Source organism: Homo sapiens, chromosome 7, assembly GCF_000001405.40.
Source record: "Homo sapiens chromosome 7, GRCh38.p14 Primary Assembly".
NCBI classification, from domain to species: Eukaryota; Metazoa; Chordata; class Mammalia; order Primates; family Hominidae; genus Homo; species Homo sapiens.
This window is the reverse complement of record NC_000007.14, coordinates 133,432,425-133,452,743: the sequence shown is the minus strand read 5'-3', so window position 1 is coordinate 133,452,743 and position 20,319 is coordinate 133,432,425. Positions and strand designations below refer to the sequence as shown.

General features: G+C 38.9%; 1 protein-coding gene across 11 annotated transcripts in view, besides 1 other annotated feature; it reads right to left on the bottom strand.

Annotated features, from left to right (window-relative positions):
• Positions 1–20,319, bottom strand: part of EXOC4 (exocyst complex component 4) — an 847,874-nt gene that overhangs the window by 648,208 nt on the left and 179,347 nt on the right. The window lies entirely within an intron of this gene.
• Positions 10,132–10,316: a silencer, noted in NCBI's record as "fragment chr7:133127182-133127366 (GRCh37/hg19 assembly coordinates)". NCBI's record gives its function as "represses an EF-1alpha promoter that drives an FKBP-Casp9 reporter gene in an ReSE screen in K562 erythroleukemia cells {active_cell/tissue: K562}" and the evidence as "EXISTENCE:reporter gene assay evidence [ECO:0000049][PMID:32094911]".

The window sequence follows — 20,319 nt, the reverse complement described above, 5'->3', positions numbered from 1 at the left end:
ATCACTGCTAAGCACATGTTCCACAGGGTACATTTGTCAGGCTGTCAGGGGCTCTCAACAATCCATAATAGTAGAGAATCAAACAACTTAGTTAAAAATAACATTTATAGAAAAAATAAAACTGCTATCTAGAATGGATGAGCATTAGCTATTCTGGACATACGAGATGCACAGAGAGCTAAAGGTTGACTGGAGCATGAGGATGGCAGAGGCTATTGGGGGTAGATGGCTTGTGACCCTTCTTGATGCCTGTGCTGTGGCACTGTTCTACTCTGGTCACCAACTTCCTCCTCAGACACAACATTTGCTGCTTCTCATCACCATGTGGGAGACTTCCTGGTATTTCTCAGATTCTAAGGTACACATTTGCTCACATTTTTTCACATATCCAAAAATCAACAGTTATCTTATGATAGATGTGTACATTTAAGGTAGTTTTACTTTTTTTTCCTAATCTTATACTTCTTAGGGTCTTGGAATCCAGAAAATGAGATATTTACTAATAATGCTGCTGTAGGGACCATTTCTAATCTAAGCTGTATTCCTCTTCCCTCCTCTCTGCTTTTATTCTCTCATTTTGTCTTCGGTTCCTTCCATGAAAAAAGTTGGACTCTTAGCAATTCACAGTGCATCAGGCTAATTATCAAAGCCTCAGCTCTTCTGAGTAGGACAAAAAGCTTTCAAAGGTAAAGGCAATAAAAGGTAACACTAATGTGAATATAGTTAACACTACTGAACCGTACAATTAAAAATGGTTAAGATGGTAAATTTTATGTTTTTTACTACAATTAAAATATTTTTTTTAAAAAGGTAATAGCAAGGCAACAGGTTTCTCTGTAATTATCCTGACATACAGCTGTGTTTCCAACTCAAAATCATTGACCTCTTTCCATCATATCAATTAGCTATGGGCTGAGCAGGTCTACCCTACCAACACACTGGAAACTAGTATCATGCTGGAGACCTTAGTGAAGAAACATCAGAATTGAGAATCCATTTCATCGTGTTCCTAGGAAGGCAGTTCAGCTGGGTGAACTATGGGTGGCTATCAGCTCAAATCCCCAAATAAGTCCGTGTAACTCTTTCTCTGACTCAAGGTTTTTAAATAAAATATGCCTGGGGATGAGAGAGGAAAATATACAAATAGAAGAGAAAGTAAAAAATTTTAAGTACTGAGTCCATCAAACAAATGAAAGAAAAAAATTCATTCAGGAATACAAGAGAAATAATTTTCTCATATTAACAAATAAAATATTAGTAAATTATCTGAATTAATAAACGTTTATGTTAATCTGCTAACCAAAGCACATTTAAATTTGAAATCCCATTTAGAGCTAAAGAAAATAAGATCAAAAGAGGATACTGCCCTAAATTACAAGTCAACAGGAAACCTACAAGTAGAAATGAGGAACAAATGTCAGACTTCCAAATTAAAATGATATTTGTCTGGTAATACCCAACACGATCTCTCCCACGTACCCACTCAAATATCTATGAATGCAAAAGATTTAAAAAAAAAAAAGCTTCACAATGCCAAAAAAAAATCTGGACCCACACACAATACAGCCAGAATCTTTAAACAATCTCCACTAAATACAAGGTCAACGGAAGAGAGTTAACACGTATACTGAATGGTTTGTGTTGCATCAGTGGAAGGAAAGTAATCTGCTTACTTGGAAGTAGGTACAAAAAGCCTTTCCCACTCTTGCACTGTCTGTATTCTCCAAACCAAAGTGAGCAACCGTTCACGACCACATAGTTGCTGGCCTGAGAGGCAGCTGGCCCTCCCGAACTCACCATCCCACCTGAACACTTCTTGTCCTGCATCCATTAGAAATAGTACTTAAAATTACACAATCTACTAAGAAGTGGAGAGGACTAACAATGGAATTCTGACAAAGAGAATCATCTTTTGTAAAATACTGTAAATACAAAAATAATCATGGAAAACGATTTATGTTTACCTTAGTAATTCATTTATTATTTTATGTGTTTCAGGAAGCCAGATAGTGATACAGGTTGAAGTTCCATCTCAGAAAAACAGATTTGCATTATATGGTAACAAGGAGTTGAGCTGGCATATGTGTACATGAAATTGATTACTAGCAGTAAAACTCAGAAAATGATTTCATTAGCACATATGTTTAAATAATAGGCTAAAAGGCAGTCTTCATATTCCAACAGTCAGCAGACACAAGGTCTAGGTAGATTTCCTCTCATTTGAGAATGAGTAAACAGGGAAAAGAAAAAGTGAGGAAAAGATACATTTCAAGAAATTAGAGGCCTGGCACGGTGGCTCATGCCTGTAATCCCAGTACTTTGGGAGGCCAAAACAGGAGGATCACTTGAGGACAGGAGTTCAAGATCAGACTGGGCAAGAAAGCAAAACCCCATCTCTACAAAAAATAAAAATTAAATGGGTGTGGTGACACACCCCTGTAGTCCCAACTACTCAAGGAGCCTGAGGCAGGAGGATTGCTTGAGCCGAAGAGTTTGAGACTGCAGTGAGCTGCACTGTGCTCCAGCCTGGGCAACAGGGCAAGACTCTGTCTCAAAAAAAAAATAATAATAACCCAAAAACTAGAAACAAAAAATTTTCAGTAAATCCTGGCATCCTCAGTAGCACACAAGAACACATAGCTTCTTGCAACAGTAAAAGAAATCTTTAAAGAGAAAACAGGCTGGAAGGAAAAGATACCAGGATAAGATTTTTTTTAAAGAGGGGACAAGGGAAAGAGAAGAATTGTAAGGAAGGTTAAAATGCTGCAACTTCAGAAGAGAAAGCCATAATAAAGGAACTAGGATACTAACAATTGATATTCCATAAAATAAAATCAGAGATGCAAAAAACAAATTGAGAAATACTCCCAAATATAGATGGGAAAAACAGCAATAATAAAGATTGAAAAGCTGGAGGAGAGATGATAGACATAAAAATTTCAGAACAGGGATTCAATCCAAGTATTACAGAAATAATGTTTGTAAAAAGAGATGTACACACACACACACACACACACACACAAATGTATTTTCTTGCTTTACAGAAAAAAACACCATGAGTAAGACAAAAGAGTTTACCGCATTTTCCAGGGAAAACAATGAAATAACACTTATCTAGATACAGATAGAATAAGGAACTTACAAAAAGAACAAAAATCACGATAGCTATATACTTCCTGTAACACTAAATGTGAGAAGACTAAGGAGCAATGTTGATAGATTTTTAAAGAAAAAACAGTGTATTAAAAGAAATTATCCTTGCATTTAAGAAAGCTCAGAAAAAAACTTGAGACAGTTCAGAACATAGGTGTTCTTGAGAGGTGTGTTAGTTTCCCAGGGCTACAGTAACAAATGACCACATACTGGGTGGCTTAAAACAATAGAAATGTATTCTCTTGCAGTTCTAGAAGCTGCAGATCTTAAATCAAGGTGTTGGCAGAGTCACCCTCCCTCTGGGGTCTCTAGGGGAGGAGTCTTCCTTGCCTTTTCCTAGCTTCTGGTGGTAGCCAGCAATCCTTGGCGTTCTACGGCATGTACAAGTTTTACTCTAATCTCTGCCTCCATCATTACATGGCATTCCTTGTGTGTCTTCTCTGTAACCAAATTCCCATATTCTTTTTATTTATTTATTTATTTTTGAGACAGAGTCTCACTGTCACCCAGGCTGGAGTGCACTGGTGTGATCTCAGCTCACTGCAAACTCCACCTCCCAGATTCAAGCGATTCTAATGCCTCAGCCTCCTACTGAATAGCTGGGATTACAGGCATGTGCCACCACACCCAGATAATTTTTGTATTTTTAGTAGAGATGGGGTTTCACCATGTTGGCCAGGCTGGTCTCGAACTCTTGACCTCAAGTGATCCACCCACCTCGGCCTCCCAAAGAGCTGGGATTACAGGTGTGAGCCACCACGCCTGGCCTAAATTTCCATCTTCCTATAAGGTCACTAATCATTAGATTGGGACCCAATTTAATTCAGTATGACCTCACCTTAATTTGACTGCATCTGCAAAGACCCTATCTCTAAATGAGGTCACATTCACATATACCAGACGCCAGGATTTGAACATAACTTTTGGGGTGATACAACTCTATCCACCATAAGCGGAGGAAAGAGGCTTAAGACCTGCTCTAGGTTGGGCATGGTGCCTCATGCCTATAACCACAGCACTTGGGGATGGGTGAAGTGGCAAGATCACTTGAGGCCAGGAGTTTGAGACCAGCCTGGGCAACATAGTGAGACCCTGTCTCTACAAAAATAAATAAATTAATTAAAAATTAGACAGGCATGGTGGTGTGTGTCTGTGGTCCTAGCTGCTAAGGTAGCTGAGGTGAGAGGATTGCTTAAGCCCAGGAGGTCAAGGCTGCAGTAAGCCATGATCGCACCACTGTATTCCAGTCTGGGTGACAGAGCAAGACCATGTCTCAAAAAAAAAAGACATATGAAGAATGAGTAAAAATTAGAATTCAAAGCATAAGGAAGTCACAATATATAGGACTGGTGGGGTTTCCCAGCTCCAGTATTAGTTATCTAACTAGACTGAGTGCAGTGGGGCACACTCCACAGCCCAAGGGCAAAAGGAGACCCAGAAATGCTTCACTACACTGTGCTTTTTCCTGCTCTGTCCCTCACCTAGAGCCACTTTTTAACCCACAGTCACAATATTTTAGTTGAACACCCAAGACAACAGCAGTGTTGTTCTTTCTTTACTAATAGTGGCTCAACTATTTTAAACACATTTGGGACAATATTCCATGACAACTACTAAATAAAAAGTACATCTTTCTCTCTAAAGGGAAGAATTACATATCACAACATAATAGACATTTTTTGCTTAGGAACTTCAGAAATAATTTTTCACATCTTTGAAACTCAAACTGAATGACTTGAGTCATTAGTTTTTTTATTAACTCTTCTCTCATCCATAACCTGTGACAATGCCTGTATTAGGTACACTTAAAAATAATTATGATATGAATCCAATAAAAAAAGTAAGTAAATATAAATGAAGGTTAAAAATTATCCCTGGGATAAAGGATTCTGGGTGATTTTTAAATCTTCTTTATAAGTTTTCTCTATTTTCTTAATATTTTTATAATATACATATCTACATTTATTGATAAACAGAAAAAAGCTTATTTAAATAAGCACATAGAATTTTGTACTCCCAATATGTTGAAAATTTTATAATTTTTAATGAAGCAAAATTTGAAGAAGGAAATACATAAAAATGTGAACTCTCTAAGTACTAGGAATATAAAAAAGTTAAATCTCCTCTTTCATTTTTCTGTATTTTCCAAATTTTCTATAATAAGCATGCATTATTCTTACAGTAAGAATAATAATATACAAAAACAGAGTGGAGCACTTGCCTGGTAGACTCTACAGAAGACAAGAGAGTGAAGCAATGTTCATTTCTCATATGTAAGAAGATCTATATATCCTAGTTAGGAAAAAGCAAGCAGAAGTCTTTGATTGCCTAAAACAATGTGTAACAGAAAAGGATTAACACTGATGTTTTCATGCCTCAATGTACTTTAGAAAATGATGTATTTTATAGAACATACTGGTGTACAGCCAAAATACAAGTGACTATAAAATGATGAACTGTGGAGTTGACTTGGTCAGAATCACTCAAAACTGAAAACTAAAGCTGCCAAAGCAAACTGAAATCTATCCCCTTTATTATTTCACTTATGGTTAAAAACCAACCAAAATGTTCCTGAGTCTTCAAAGGTTTATAGAAACATCTGTAAATGTAAACTGCAGCCTAGAGAGGACAGGTGGCAAAGTATCAGAAGCAGGTTGAGAAATGCATATTGTAGATTAAAGCTAAGCTCTAGGCTAATGCCCAGTGCCAGAACTTGAAATTTACCACTTACACTGTGTTACCCTACATCCTCAAAATAGTTGCAAATCAAGAATATTATTTCTACTCGTGAAAAAAGCAGCGGTAGTTATTAGTCCTCTCAGTGACTACTGGATTCAGAGATCCAGTCCATGGCTTCTGAAATTACCTATGAGGATTATCAGTTTTTGATACTTTATAAAACATTAAAAGTATATTTTTTAAAAAGACAAAGATGAACAAAATCTAAAGTTACGTTTTCCAAATCACTAGGAGTTTCTAATGGCTTCATCTCGATTTCTGTACTTATTTCATCAAGGACGGGTAATAGTGAGCAGACAGGTCGCTGGACTGAGGACCGTGCCCTGAGTAGCTCAGAGTAATCTTGCCAAGTTATAAGCTGGCATGTTTTCACTAGCTAACAGTGAGCAAACTAGAGAAGAAGCTATCTTCATTTTACAGACAGCCCTGCGTTAAAAACTAGGAATAACCATTCAAAAACACAATTAAATCTCCAGAGATAATTTTACAGCACAGAGTAGGGCGAAAAATAAAAAGCATCTCTCTCAATCCAAAAAATGGAATAAAGTCTCCCTCGTAAATAAGAAAACAGTTTTATTGAGAGGTTTTGGTTGTAATTAAATTAGGCTGTGGAAATAAAGGGGTTAGTCCAGCTTCACTGGTCTCATGTACAAGCACAGAGAATACTGATACCAGAGAAAGAATGTGGGATACCTGCAAACTCACAACCAGAAAGAGAAACAGTCACAAGAAAGAGGAAGGACTCTGCTTGAGACTTAAAGAAAGAAAAGAGATCTTCCTTAACAAGGTCATTAGAAGTATCCTGGTTGGCTCAGTCATCTTTTTTTTTTTTTTTTAAGACAGGGTTCCGTTCTGTCACCCAGGCTGAAGTGCAGTATTATAATCTCGGCTCACTACAATCTCGACCTTCTGGGCTCAGTTGAGTCTCCCACCTCAGACTTTTGAGTAGCTGGGACTGCAGGCATGCGCCACCATGCCTGGCTAATTTTTCTGTGTATTTTTTGTAGAGATGGGGTCTTGCTATGTTGCCCAGGCTGTTCTTAAACTCCTGGGCTCAAGCAATCCTCCCACCTCCGCCTTCCAAACTGCTGGGATTACAGGGTAACAACACACCAGATAACGCAGCTCCTGGTAAGGCAATGTGGAATAGGGCAGAGACTCACAGCTACTGCTGCACATTAGAATTACCAGGAGAGGTTGATTTATTTGTTTGTTTGTTTGTTTGTTTGTTTGTAGTAACTGTCCAGGCCTCTGAGGTGGAAGCACAATTGCTGGGCTTTTTGTTTTATTTTATTTTGTAACTTCCCAAGATGAATCTAACATGGGGCCAAGGCTGAGAACCACTGAAGTAGTGGAAAGACGCTGGCATATGAATCAAAGCCTTGGATTCTAAGATTGGTCCTAACAATTTTGAGTTGTGTTTTCCCGTCAGAGTCATTTTATATTCCAAAGTCCTACCCTACACAACTGCAAAGGAAAGAGTACAACATCTTCCTACCTCACACAGGTTTTGGAACCTCAGATGTGTGTTAACTATAAAGCACTTGACACACGTTCCAGCCATCTCTTTCAAATACAATATTTACTAAGAAAGATTTCAGGGACTCTTAATAAATCTGAAGATCAGAAACCTATGACTGCATATGTACACTTGAGTAGATTCTATAATGAGTTCAGAAAATTTTCAATTTGTCAGGATAGAAGCTGAAAACTTTGAGAATTGCTGTCTTTTAGCCATCAAGTACATGACAGGAGGAACTTGTCAATCAGTACACATACGGTCCAGAAACATGAAAAAAACATACACACACAAAATCATATTCATGCCCCCAAAGTTCTGCCTCATTCAACAAAAAATCTGTTCTATTTAAAATAAGAATCTTACGTGTTGTTAATCTCTAGGCAAATATACATGATTAAAAAGAGCTCCAAAAAAGTGTGAAAACGCCATCTCATCCAGTCCTGTGACTTTAAAATACAATCTATCTGGTAAGGCCCTGCAATCTGTCATCCCAGACCTCTGACCTGAACACCGACAAGCTGACACCACCGACCAACCTGCTCATGATCTCATGTCCCACAGGCATCCCACATTTAACATAGCCAAAATACAAGACCCAATTTTCTTCTCCGTTCCCTCAATCTTAATGTGGCACTCTTCTTCTCCTCACTCAGGACTCAACCCAAATGCCATCTCTTCAAAGAAGGCTTGCTGACCACCCTAGCTTTAACACCTCCAGAACAAATCACACCCTACAGTGCTGTTTCTCTAATTGTATCTTTTTCATAGGAAGTCATCAGTAAGGAATTACCCTATGTGTGTAGTTTACCGTCTCCACATGCCCACTAAGACATAAGCTCCGTGGGGCAGGAAGCAGGGGGTTGTAAGACTGTCTATCTTGTTCTATCTTGTTCACTGCTGTGGCCCCAACACATAAAACGTTACCTGTTACAAAGTCAATCCTCAATAAATGTTAGTCTCCACCTAGCTAAGTATATGTCCAAATTGATGCATATGGAAGGAGGGAGATTCAGGAAGAATAAAGAGCCTGGAGAAAACGCCAAGCCCCACTTGCTACCCTGTGCTCTGATTCTTCATTTGCTGGTCTCCTTGGTCCATTCTGCTGGCTCTCATTCAGAATCTCTCTTGCCCCTTTGGACTGAAATTCCTCTGGTCAGCTAGGCTGACTTTATAATTTGGCTTCTCCTGAAGAAACACTCAGACTGAACCCATGGCTATGCACAATCAGAAAGTGAGCTACACTCCACTCTTATGAGGACCTGGTTTTCAGCATACCTTTTGGGCCAGGATATCAGTACACACAGGTCTCCTGACCCAAGAGAATAGGAAATGCTCCTAATTCCCTGAACTACATAGTTCCTGCGGTCTGTCAGTTGTCCCTGGTCCTGCCTGGCATAATGGCCAAAATAAAGGCCACACTCCAAGCTTTCCTCATCTGGGCATCATCTTCCAACACAGGTGCTTCTTATACAGTTTGAGCTTTTTGTGTATAGAAGCCAACACTTAAGCACTACATGCCCCTTTGAGAGGGGGTGTTTCCCAAATGACCTTTCTGGGAATATAACTTTGAGAGAGAAAGATGGAGCTCTGGGGTCCTTAGATACTGTAACTAATTCTGACTCCTCATCACAGCCAGGAAAATGGGAGAACCTTTGATAAAGGCCACTCACACCACCCACTGATGCCCCCAGGAGGTCAAGACAACCTGCATGGAAGTGAATCTGTAGAGCTGCAGAGACAAACACTCACCCAAAGCATCTGCTGGATTCTACACCCTGGTGCTTGACCATGGGGAAGGTCACTGAGGAGTTTTTGGTATTTGAGTTTCTACCACCAGACTGAAGTGACAATAGACTCAGGGACAACTATTAGGCATTTCACAGATCTACAGGCTGATTTCTGACTCCATCCAAGGCTATCCAGTTGCTCTCTGGTGGAGAAAGCAGAGATGGGCCCACATTCTGTACTGCGCAAGAGACTTTACCAAGAGGCAGGTGTGTCAACTGTTCATCTTTCCCCTTGCCCTGGGCCTCTCCTGCTAGGGTCTCCTCGGAACCCAACCCCAGCCTTGAAAAGGACATTTCTGTGTCTGATAGTGCTTCTATTACCCATGTGAGGTCTAGCCTCCACAACCATGCCTGTGCCTGAGATCCTGGACAAATGCGACTACGGAAGAAGATGTGAAGAAAAAGCAGCTATAACACCACCCCTACAGGGAAATAAACTGTTGTAAATCTCACTCCCTGGCTCCCGTCACAGCAACTGGGGCTTCTCACTCCACTACTTCACAAACACCCAAGTCCTGCAGAGAGGCACTTTGTATTGTAGATTACATTGTCATTACACTCCTCTGTAATCAATGGTGTTCACCCTCATCTTTCACAGGTCAACCTTATCAACCTTCAGTACAAGCCTCCTATTGGACTCCCATTATCTCAAACTCAAATGTATTTAAAAACAGATTCATCTTCTCTTTATTACAAATGGGACCACCATTCTTTCAGTCACACAAAACACACAAAACTGATTCCTTGGTCATCTTTGATTCATTCCTTTCTTCAGTATCCAGCAAATCTTCGATTCCTTCAAATCCCTTCTCCTTGTGGTCAAAATCCATCTACTCCCACCTCCTCCATAACTCACTTTATTAATCATCCCTTCTCTCTCCCAGATCATATGTAAATCTCTTTTTCTCTACTAGGTTCTTTCTTTTTGCTTATAAATAGGCTCAAATACCACCCCACAAGCTCTTCTCTTGTCCATTCCCCATCCCCACTAGCCTGAGGCATCACTTCATGCCTCGAGGGTGTTTCAGCCTGCTTCATCCTTAAGCACAGCATACCATCACTACTTAACTTGTCAGACTGCCCGCTCTTGGGGGCTCTCTGAAGTGGAGTCCAACTTTTTCAGCTTTAAATCTCCACAGTGTAATAAATTTCAATAAATGTTTAATAAATGAATAAATTATCCCACCAATCATTCTGTAATTCATCCTTTCTACTGTCTAATAACCACCTCTTTCTATTCTCATTGTCCTTATTCTGTTCCCCTCACTTCACGCTAGGCTTTCAAAAGGGTCTTTTTAATTTGACTTAAGTTTTTATCACCTCCAATTCACCAGCTATGCCCAGTATATCCTTTCTAAAACAATAATTTCAAACCATCAATGGCAGGTATTAAAAAACATACATGAAAACAAACATAATACACAAAAAAATAAGCTAACCAAAAAACCTCTAATGGTTTGCCATTGTTTATGGCAAGCCTTGTAAGTGGGTCAATCATTAGTTACTGGTAGATCTGAATGACCAAGTGGTCAGAATTTCATTTCACAGTCTTCCAGGATTGTTCACTGGAGGAGAACCCAGCCAGCAGCAATGCACTGTCCCCAACTCTGCTCAAGGAATCCCATCTCAGGAATAAGCACCAGCAGGGATGTTGTATTTACATAGGTATGTGTGCGTGTATGTGCATGCACACATACACACACACACCCCCCACACACAAACACACAGGCTTAACAGTGTGAGTCAAAATTAGCCCCACTGTATCATTTGCAAGCCATATATCTTAGAAGATGACTGGAACCTTAGAGGAAGTGATAAATGCCTCTTCAAGATAACTAGAGGCGGAGCACGGTGGCACACATTGGCTCATGCCTGTAATCCCAGCACTTTGGGAGGCCGAGGTGGGTGAATTGCTTGATGCCAGGAGCTCAAGACCAGCCTGGCCACATGGTGAAACCACATCTCTACAGAAAAAAATACAAAAATTAGCCAGGCATGGTGGCACACATCTGTAATCCCAGGTACTCGGGAGGCTGAGGCATGAGAATCACTTGAACCTGGGAGACAGAGACTGCAGTAAGCCGAGACTGCACCACTGCTCTCCAGACTGGGTGACAGAGTGAGACTATGTCTCAAAAACAAGGCAAAAAGACAATTAGAAACCCTTGCTCCATAAAATATGCAACTGAAAATCTTCAGATGGAATTTCTAGGCCCTCTATGAGCCAGTCCCAACCTACCTTCTGCTAGTCCCTTCATTACATTCCTTCCTTCCACATATTCCGTGTACCTTCCTAACTCTCTTTCTGGTACTACTTCTCCAAATCTTACTTGCTGTAAATATCTCTCCCGTCTTGAAGCATTTTCCAACAACTCAGTGATCTCTACTTTCCTGTAACTCCCCTGGTACTTACAGTCTGTATCATTTATTTAGCATTTGCCACTGGCTATTGATGTTAAAACTTCTGAAATAGAAGACCTCAGCCAAAATCTCCCAATAGTACTAAAATATTTCTGTTACCAGAAAGGGGTCCTGATCCACATCCAAGAGAGGGTTCTTGGATCTCACACAAGAAATAATTCAGGGTGAGTCCACAGAGTAAAGTGAAAGCAAGTTTTATTAAGAAAGTAAAGGAATAAAAAGAATGGCTACTCCACAGAGCTGCCCCAAGGGCTGATAGCTACCCACTTCCATGGTTATTTCTTGATTATATGCTAAACAAGGGGTAGATTATTCATCTCTCCCCTTTTTAGGGTAACTTCCACATAGGGTAACTTCCTCTATGGAAGTTAGAATGCATTGCCATGGCATTTGTAAACTGTCACATTGCTGGTGGGAGTGTAGCAGTGAGGACCACCAGAGGTCACTCCCATTGCCATCTTGGTTTTAGTGGGTTTGCCCAGCTTCTTTACTGCAACCTATTTTATCAACAAGGTCTTTATGACCTGTATCTTGTGCTGACCTCTGATCACATCCTGTGACTTAAAACCACCTGGAAATGCAGCCCAGTAAGTCTGAGCCTTATTTTACCCAGCCCTTACCCAAGATGGAGTTGCTCTGGTTCAAATGTCTCTGACATTTCCAGTCACATCATGAACACTGATGACCAACTGTAGCATGAGAAGTTAATTCTAAGGCTAAAAGTACTTGGAAGGAAGACAGAATTGAATAGGTAATGGGGGGGTGGGGGTGGAGATAAAGGTGGGAAAAATAACAGAATGAGAGCTTTTACAAAAATGCAGAATTGATTCCAGTACCTTACTTTCCTCTGAATCCCTGAATAAGTCACTGTCCCTCCCAGGAAGACTCAGATCCAGTGAAAACATGAAGAGAAATAAGAAAGCCATTGTAGTGTTCAAGAACTATGACAACTTCCTGAAGAGTGTAAACAGTAGTTAATGTTACCTATGCAAGGCCTTGACTCAGAAATGGTTAAACTGTGTGTCCCTGTGGGGGTGGGAGAGGGTTGCCAGTAAGTGATTATTCAATGTAATCACTAAATTTATTTTTTTAATGCCTTTAAATGAATATATTGAATTAAAAAGTAAAAAATAAAGAAGCTATAACTCACAATAAGCAATGTGCTCATCTGAGTTTGGTTTCTTGGAGATGTCAGAGCTGAGTGATAGATGGAAGAGTTACCCAATGAGTTATAGTCTCCCTGATGGCTTCATTGTTAGGAATCTCTACACATTACACAATTCAACAGTGAGGCAGGTCCAGGGAAAACATGGGAAGGGTCATCTGGGCTGAGAGACTGATAATCTCCTCCTACATCTTTGCTTCTTTTGTGTTACAGGCTTTATGTTTCTTAATAAATCCTGAGTCTTTCAGGAGTGTCAGACCAGTGATACAGCTTTTTTGGTCCCAAGTAACCATGTGTCAGTAGTCAGAAGGTAGCTTTGTGTGGTATCATTATCCTCACAAATACAAACACACTCACACATAAATACGTACACTATACTTCATGGATATATGATACATATTATTTCACATTTTAACATCTCTGAAGTTGGGAGGGGTCTGATAAGTGATGATACATTAGAACTGATGAAATATGGGCTGGGTGCGGTGGCTCACACCTGTAGCCCCAGCACTTTGGGAGGCTGAGACAGGCAGATCATGAAGTCAAGAGATCCAGACCATCCTGGCCAACATGATGAAACCCCGTCTCTACTAAAAATACAAAAATTAGCTGGGCGTGGTGGCGGGGGCCTGTAATCCCAGCTACTTGGGAGGCTGAGGCAGGAGAATTACTTGAACCCAGGAGGCGGAGGTTGCAGTAAGCCGAGATCGCCCCACTGCACTCCAGCCTGGCGAGACAGCGAGACTCCATCTCAAAAAAAAAAAAAAAAAAAAAGAACTGATGAAATATGGTATATTTCCTTTAAACAACTATAACATCTTGAAGATGGAAACCAAAACCGAGGTTCAAATACTGACTGAAAGGAACAGTGGTAATCCAACCCAATCTCCTTCATTTTACAAGTGAAACACACACATACATATACATACATAGGCAAACACACACGTGTACAGAGGCAGAAGTAAAACCAAACCTGTAAGTCAAATTTCCTGATTCCCAGTCATTGTTCTTATGTTCTATCAGCACCTCAGCAAAATATACTAATGAACTGACCTACTGTCATCTGTAAGCAACAGGTAATCAAGTTTTTGAGATAAGGAAAACAATTCAACATACTATAAGCACTGCAAGATCAGGAACAATGTCCAGTTTGCTCACTGTGATATTCTGAGTGCCCAACACAGTGCCTTACAGAGAGCAGGCATTTTATAAATGTTCTGAGATGAAAAATCTGGCTGCTGCGTTTAAGATAAAGGATGGCAGTTAGCAGGTGGTAGTCATAGTGGACTGCCTCAGTAGACCACCTCATTAAAACTTGGGATGTTTGGCTCTTCATATCTAGGCTCTTCACAAACCAAATGAATTAGAATTTCTGGGCTAAGACTCAGAAATCTGGACTTTTAACAAGCATTCCAGACGATTCTCATGGCTATTAAAGCTTGAAACCAGAGTATATTAGATAATAACAACCCCCATTGGAGGCAACAGAAAGGAAGAAACTAATGTCATAATATTTAAATCGAAAGAACATAGGGCATTAGAGAAATAAGAGACAAAATCAAGATGGCAAGGAAAAACCAGGGGAAAGTTACTTAAAAACTAATATAAGAACTATTTAAATATAAATGTACAAACATTAAAGAATCAGGAACTCTGAGGAGCCCTGGGATAAGGGATTAATTCCATCAGTGTGCAAGAGGCCAGGGGTACCATATGAGACATCATTAGGATAATTAAATAATTAACACACATAGGATTAAAATTCCTCTTGGGGAAAATGATAATGAACAAGAAACACCTAATGTAGTTTCACAAATGACTCTTCAAAGATCTACAGACAAAGACAGATCTGAACTAAATATGGAGAAGAGTGAAAAAGTATCTTGTTAGAGTTAGCTAAAACTTATAGAAAAGAGTCAGAGGTAGCAAATTAATTCATGCTACTTAAATAAGTCAGACAAGAGAAGAGGAGCTTTTAAAATTACCAAAAAGCGGGACAAAGACTAGGAAAAGAAAAATGGTGCTAAAAATGGAGTGGGGTTTGGAATTAATGAAGACTAAACTAGCTAAGAAACTGAACTAATTCTTTTTAATTTGTCTTTGACAAGAAAAATGAAAAAGACATATTTGTATAATTAGAGAGAAGGAAGACTTTGCAAAAATAGCGACTGACAAAAAGCAGATGGGGAACACTTGACAATACTGAACTCATACCAATCAGCAGGCCTGGATGATGGGAAGCAGAGGAGCTTAAGGGAATTCATGCACACACTTGTGGAGTCATTTACAATCAGTATGGAAACATCACAGAAAAACGGGGAAATAAAAGATGTGAAGTGGAAAAAAGATTAGATAATAAAATATCCTATCGATCTTAAAATGGTAACAAAGAAATATTACGGAAAATTTTAGTGGTGAAACCAATAGCACTGTTTTCCCATCCAGATGTGAGCTCCATGAGGTCACAGGCATTCTTCTTCATTGTCCAGCATTAGTCTGAAGTTTAGAGCAAATAGTAAGTGATCACCAGATAATCGAAAATGGGAAAAGACCATGAGCTAGAAAATGAATGCCACCAAACTTTTCCATTTCTTCTGAACAGAAAATTGTACCACAGGGAGCTTACAGTCCATTTTTTTCTCTCATAAATAATAGCAAAAGGTAAAATACTTAAACATCTGGTGGATAATCATAAGCCATAATCAGAATAAAAATCTAAAAACTCTAGTAACACAAATATAGTAAATTTGAGAAACTATAAGAGAAAAAAAGTAGAACACAAATATTAATTTGGGCAAATATTTTCAGTACTTTCTTTAAAATGAAATCCTCTAACATGTTTGGATAACACGCAAAATTTAAAAAGAAATCAAAAAATTTTAAAATGAGCCTTTACTATGACCATAATATATCTTAATGAATCATGGAAGTTTCTCCCATCCTCACACACTCCCACACAAACCCATCCATAGTCACTCAGATGTATTTTTTTTTTATCAGTTCATCCTCAATTTATAGACAGGGCAAACAGGTAAATTTATATAAAATTATATGCCTCCAGGAAATTGACACTAAGCTCATGGGAAAAGATCATAAGTTACTCTAAAGTAATTATCCACACAAGCAAAACAGAAGAAATGCATTTCCTACAAGCTAAAATAAAGGGGGAGGGTATGAAGATTTCATTTTTGGAGTTTTTTTGCATAGAACACAGTGCATTCCATATAGTGCACATTAATAACCATACACTGATTAAATCAAATTGAAAGCCACTGGCTCGTACACACGAAGGGTATGTGATGATACTTAAAGAGGCTGATTATTTCATAGGTCTGTCTTATTTCTTTGATCAGGTCCCCAAAACTGAAGTCTATGGTTCTAGGCTTTAGTAAAGAAGTATTATGCCAGTAGAGTATCCCATAAGATATGGATAATATTAGGGTTTTTTTTTTTTTTAACACCACACTGCCTTCACTCAGGAAAAGAGAGACAAAAAAGAGAAAAAGAGAAAGGTTCTAATTACTGGAAAGGAAGTTAGTTTCATCATTTATTAGTTTTGATGCCAAATGAAGAGGAAAGGAGAAAGCTATCTCAAAAAGAATATCATTTATATGAGTAATGATAGCTCTGGCCTAAAGAGGACAGTCAAATTCTAGATCTTCTCAGTCAGAGGGCAGAGCTCAGGGCACATAGGAGGGCAAGTACAGACATAGCAGCTGAAGAAGTCAGAAGGCAGTACAAGGAAGGCCCACGCCACTCTGGGTTTGATACAGTTCATATCGTTAGTTTGCATGGATGCCAAGAAAAACATCTTTCAAAAACAAGCCGGCTGATGCAAGATCACCAATTTCTTGAAATGAATAGCAAGAGCAAATTCTATCTCCTTTAAAAAAACAAAAAAAAAAAAACACTGAGATAATTCAAATTCTTTCCCCCTGCCCTTCCTTATGTGGCTCTAAGGAATAAAGGACAAGTAAGAACAAATTAAGAGGAAAAAAGAAACTAACCAAATATTTAATCACAAAAAATAAAAGAAAAAACCCACTTGCTTCAGTATCAAAAGAAACATATTCATTCACTTATCCATTCAGCACAATCTAGGTGGCAAAATAAACGGCAAAAACTTTACCCTCAACCTAGATACTTCTAGAAATTAACAGATCACTAGATAACGGAGCATTTTTCCCAGAAATGGATCTTCATGGAATAGCTAAAACTTAAGTAACACAAATACAGATGGATGGGACTAGGATAGAGAATTCTACAATAAAGGTGTTTTAGGTATCATTTGACTGCCATTGTTAACAGAAGAATACCTAATTTACCTGGCAGCCTGGACCACTAAGAATAGCAGAAACTAAGGAAGAGAGAATTAAGAAAAAAGGGACATTTCCAGGGGCAAAATGTCCTTATGTTATACAATCCATAGCTGAGAATTCATGTGCATGATGCCACAGAGTGCTTTCTGGTCGCTTATTCTACACACAATTCTAACCACCTTGGTTCTCTGCCTTTGCAGCTTATACCACAATAGTTGAGCAACTTAGCAAGAGGAGCTTGTCTGAAACAGACACGATCAATAGCTAGACATGATAACCTACCCCCAAAAAGCAAGGAAAAAAAAGACAGAGGGTATGAAGAGTGAACAAGTATGATTTTTTTTTTAATGGAAGTCTGGGACTGGTTCAGCACGATGGAACGTTGTCCGTGCCTTCACATGTGACAAGATGACCTCTGACGTATCACAATACATTCAATAAAGGGTAGTGTGCAAAAGTGCAACCAAAGCATCGATTAACCAGGTTCAAAATGACAGTCCTTCAGTCACCAGAAAAAGTCTGAATGTGCTCAGTATATTGTGACAAAAGGACCAAATCTGAGAAATGTATTTTATAAAATTTCCATTAAAGATGTTAAAATACAATCTTTAATGCTAAAAGGGGAGAGACTATTTTCTGGAAAATTAAGCCACACTGAAAATCAGATTCCTAGATGGTGCTAAATAAATTAGGCATCACCAGTCTTCTTTTTAAAGAGAATATCACACAATAGTTAGGAGTTTACTTACAATAAAGCAATCGGTCTCTATCAGAACAAAGATAGCCATTGAAGACAAAAAAGAGGAAGGATAAAGCTTTAATTACAAAAACAAAGAGACATATGGATTTATCTATTATGACAGCACAATCCTGAGGTCTGTATAAAAGGCACCTCATTTCAGTCCGGCACACAAGCTTTAAAAAATTGGTTAAACAAGCTCAAAGTATCTTTGAAGCAACATCAATGGTGTATGGTACTTGGTTTCCGATTTTTTCTGCACCAAATTAAAAGTTAATAAATGTTGCCAACAGTTCCTCTACATTTCTCAGTCCACCCCCACCACAAACTCTGGGAAATAAAAGCAGCCCCCACCATTACTTTACAGTTTGCAAAATGACTTGGAGGGGAGCTTTGAAGTTTGTAGTAACAGAAAGAGAAATATACCATTAATGCCAGAGGGGGGAGCTCAGAGCAAAGGGAAAGATCATGTTTACAATGGGCAAAAAAGGGAAATTCTGAAAACCTTCTGAGCTTTTACACAATATCTTTTTTTCTCTTTTTCGGTATTCTCTTTTGAAGAATGGGTTCTAATACCCTTTGAAATAAACAACCTTCTTTTTCCCCCCCATGTAGAGAGAAAATAAATAAAAGTAGTGCTGAGGGTAACCAGTTTAAACAATGTGCAGGTTTCTGAAACCTCTGCTTTAGGGAGGTCTCATGCACACAGCCTCCAGTCTCTAATCAGTTTTGTTTGCAAATGAACCTACACAGTAGGATTGGCATCTAATGATGCTGAAGGCACAGTAAAGGAATTAGCCCAAGACAATCATTATTTTAAAGAGGTGTTTGGCCTCCTCCAGATTCCTTTACATGTTTATTTCTTAAGATAAAATGGAATTTTAATAGGCTCCTTCCATAATTAAAGATACTATCTTTGTGTATTCACTGCCCTTTGTACCACTAAGGACATACAACTAGCTGATCCAACAACAAAAAAAGGAGCCACTGGCCATTATATTTTCCTAGAAACAACTTCCAAGTACAGACAGGTTTGTGGAGATAGCCAGGGTCAACCAGCACTCTTCTTCCCATCTGAATTGTAAGCATTTCTTTAAAGTGAGCTTTCAATCCTGAACAGTTTTGCCAGTAACCAGAGACAAAACTGGCATTAAAATAGGTGCCATTGAACAATAAAGTTCTTGATGCTACATGGAAAGCTGCAGCTTCCAAAACAGTGCCTAAAGAAGGTCTTTAAAAGAAATGAGTATCCTTCTGTATTTGTCAGCTACCGCCACAATACTGAGTAACAAACCACCTCAAAATTCAGCAGCATACAACAAGTATATCTTCCTTGCTCACATATATGCTCATTATCTGGGACTTGGCTGTAGGCTGGACTACACTGGGCTTGGTACCAAGCTGCAGATCAGGTCCAGAGCCAGTGCTTTTCATCCTTCTTGAATTAGCAGCTACTAGAAGCATGTTCTTCTCACGGCAAACAATAGAAGTGCAAAGACCAAGTCCAACTGCACAAGCATATTTCAAGCCTTTGCTAGTGGCATATTTGCTAACATTCCATTGGTTATATCAAGTCACACGACCAAGTCCAATAGCAATTGGATGACGAAACAGACTGCTCTCATAGGTTGGGTGGGGGGCTATTGGGAGTGGGGTAGGTTAGGGAATGAATATTTGCTGAACAATAATCCAACCTACCACATCCTTCCATTCAGGCTGCTAGAGGTTATTTGTTTACCACATCTGGTATCCTACCGCTTATGGAATAACAAGATCTCATCATCTAAGTATGTCAGTCCTAGTTTTACAGAAGTCTGCCATTGATACTACTACCATTCGAAAATAAGAATGAGAATTAAGCAGAAAAAAACTGTAAAATTGGTATTATATCGTATAAACGGACATGATTAGGAGTTTCATTGATGTCTCAGAAATCTGTTGACAAAGGGTAATACATTACAGCTATAGAGTGCTGCTTAGCATACTCTGGTGTTTCAAGTCCATGTACTTGCTAAGCTGTCTACCTTACATTGGCATTGACAATATTTTATGCAGTATTAGTTTTGCATAGAAATAGCCTGCTAGACAGCAGAATTACAAAGAAAAGAGAAAGCAGGAAAGATCATACCAAGGTTTCCAACTTGGATAATGTAGTAAGCAATAGTAGTAGCATTAGCAGAAACTGGAAGAGAGTGGAAAGCACTTGACAAACAGATTTACAGCAGCTATTAACGAAGCTTTACAGTGAACATTTTAAGATAACTTTAAAAGGCTCTGGCTATTACATACATTTAAAAGTTAACTTATCAACCACATACCAGTTAAATCCTACTGGAAACAAGACATGGGATGCAGATATAAAGGGGGGAGAGGAATACATATATTACATAAACATGATACTTATATTTATATATCTATCTACCAAAATTTTCTTAAGAAGGTCCAATGAACCCCAGGTTCAGATTTCACTATCA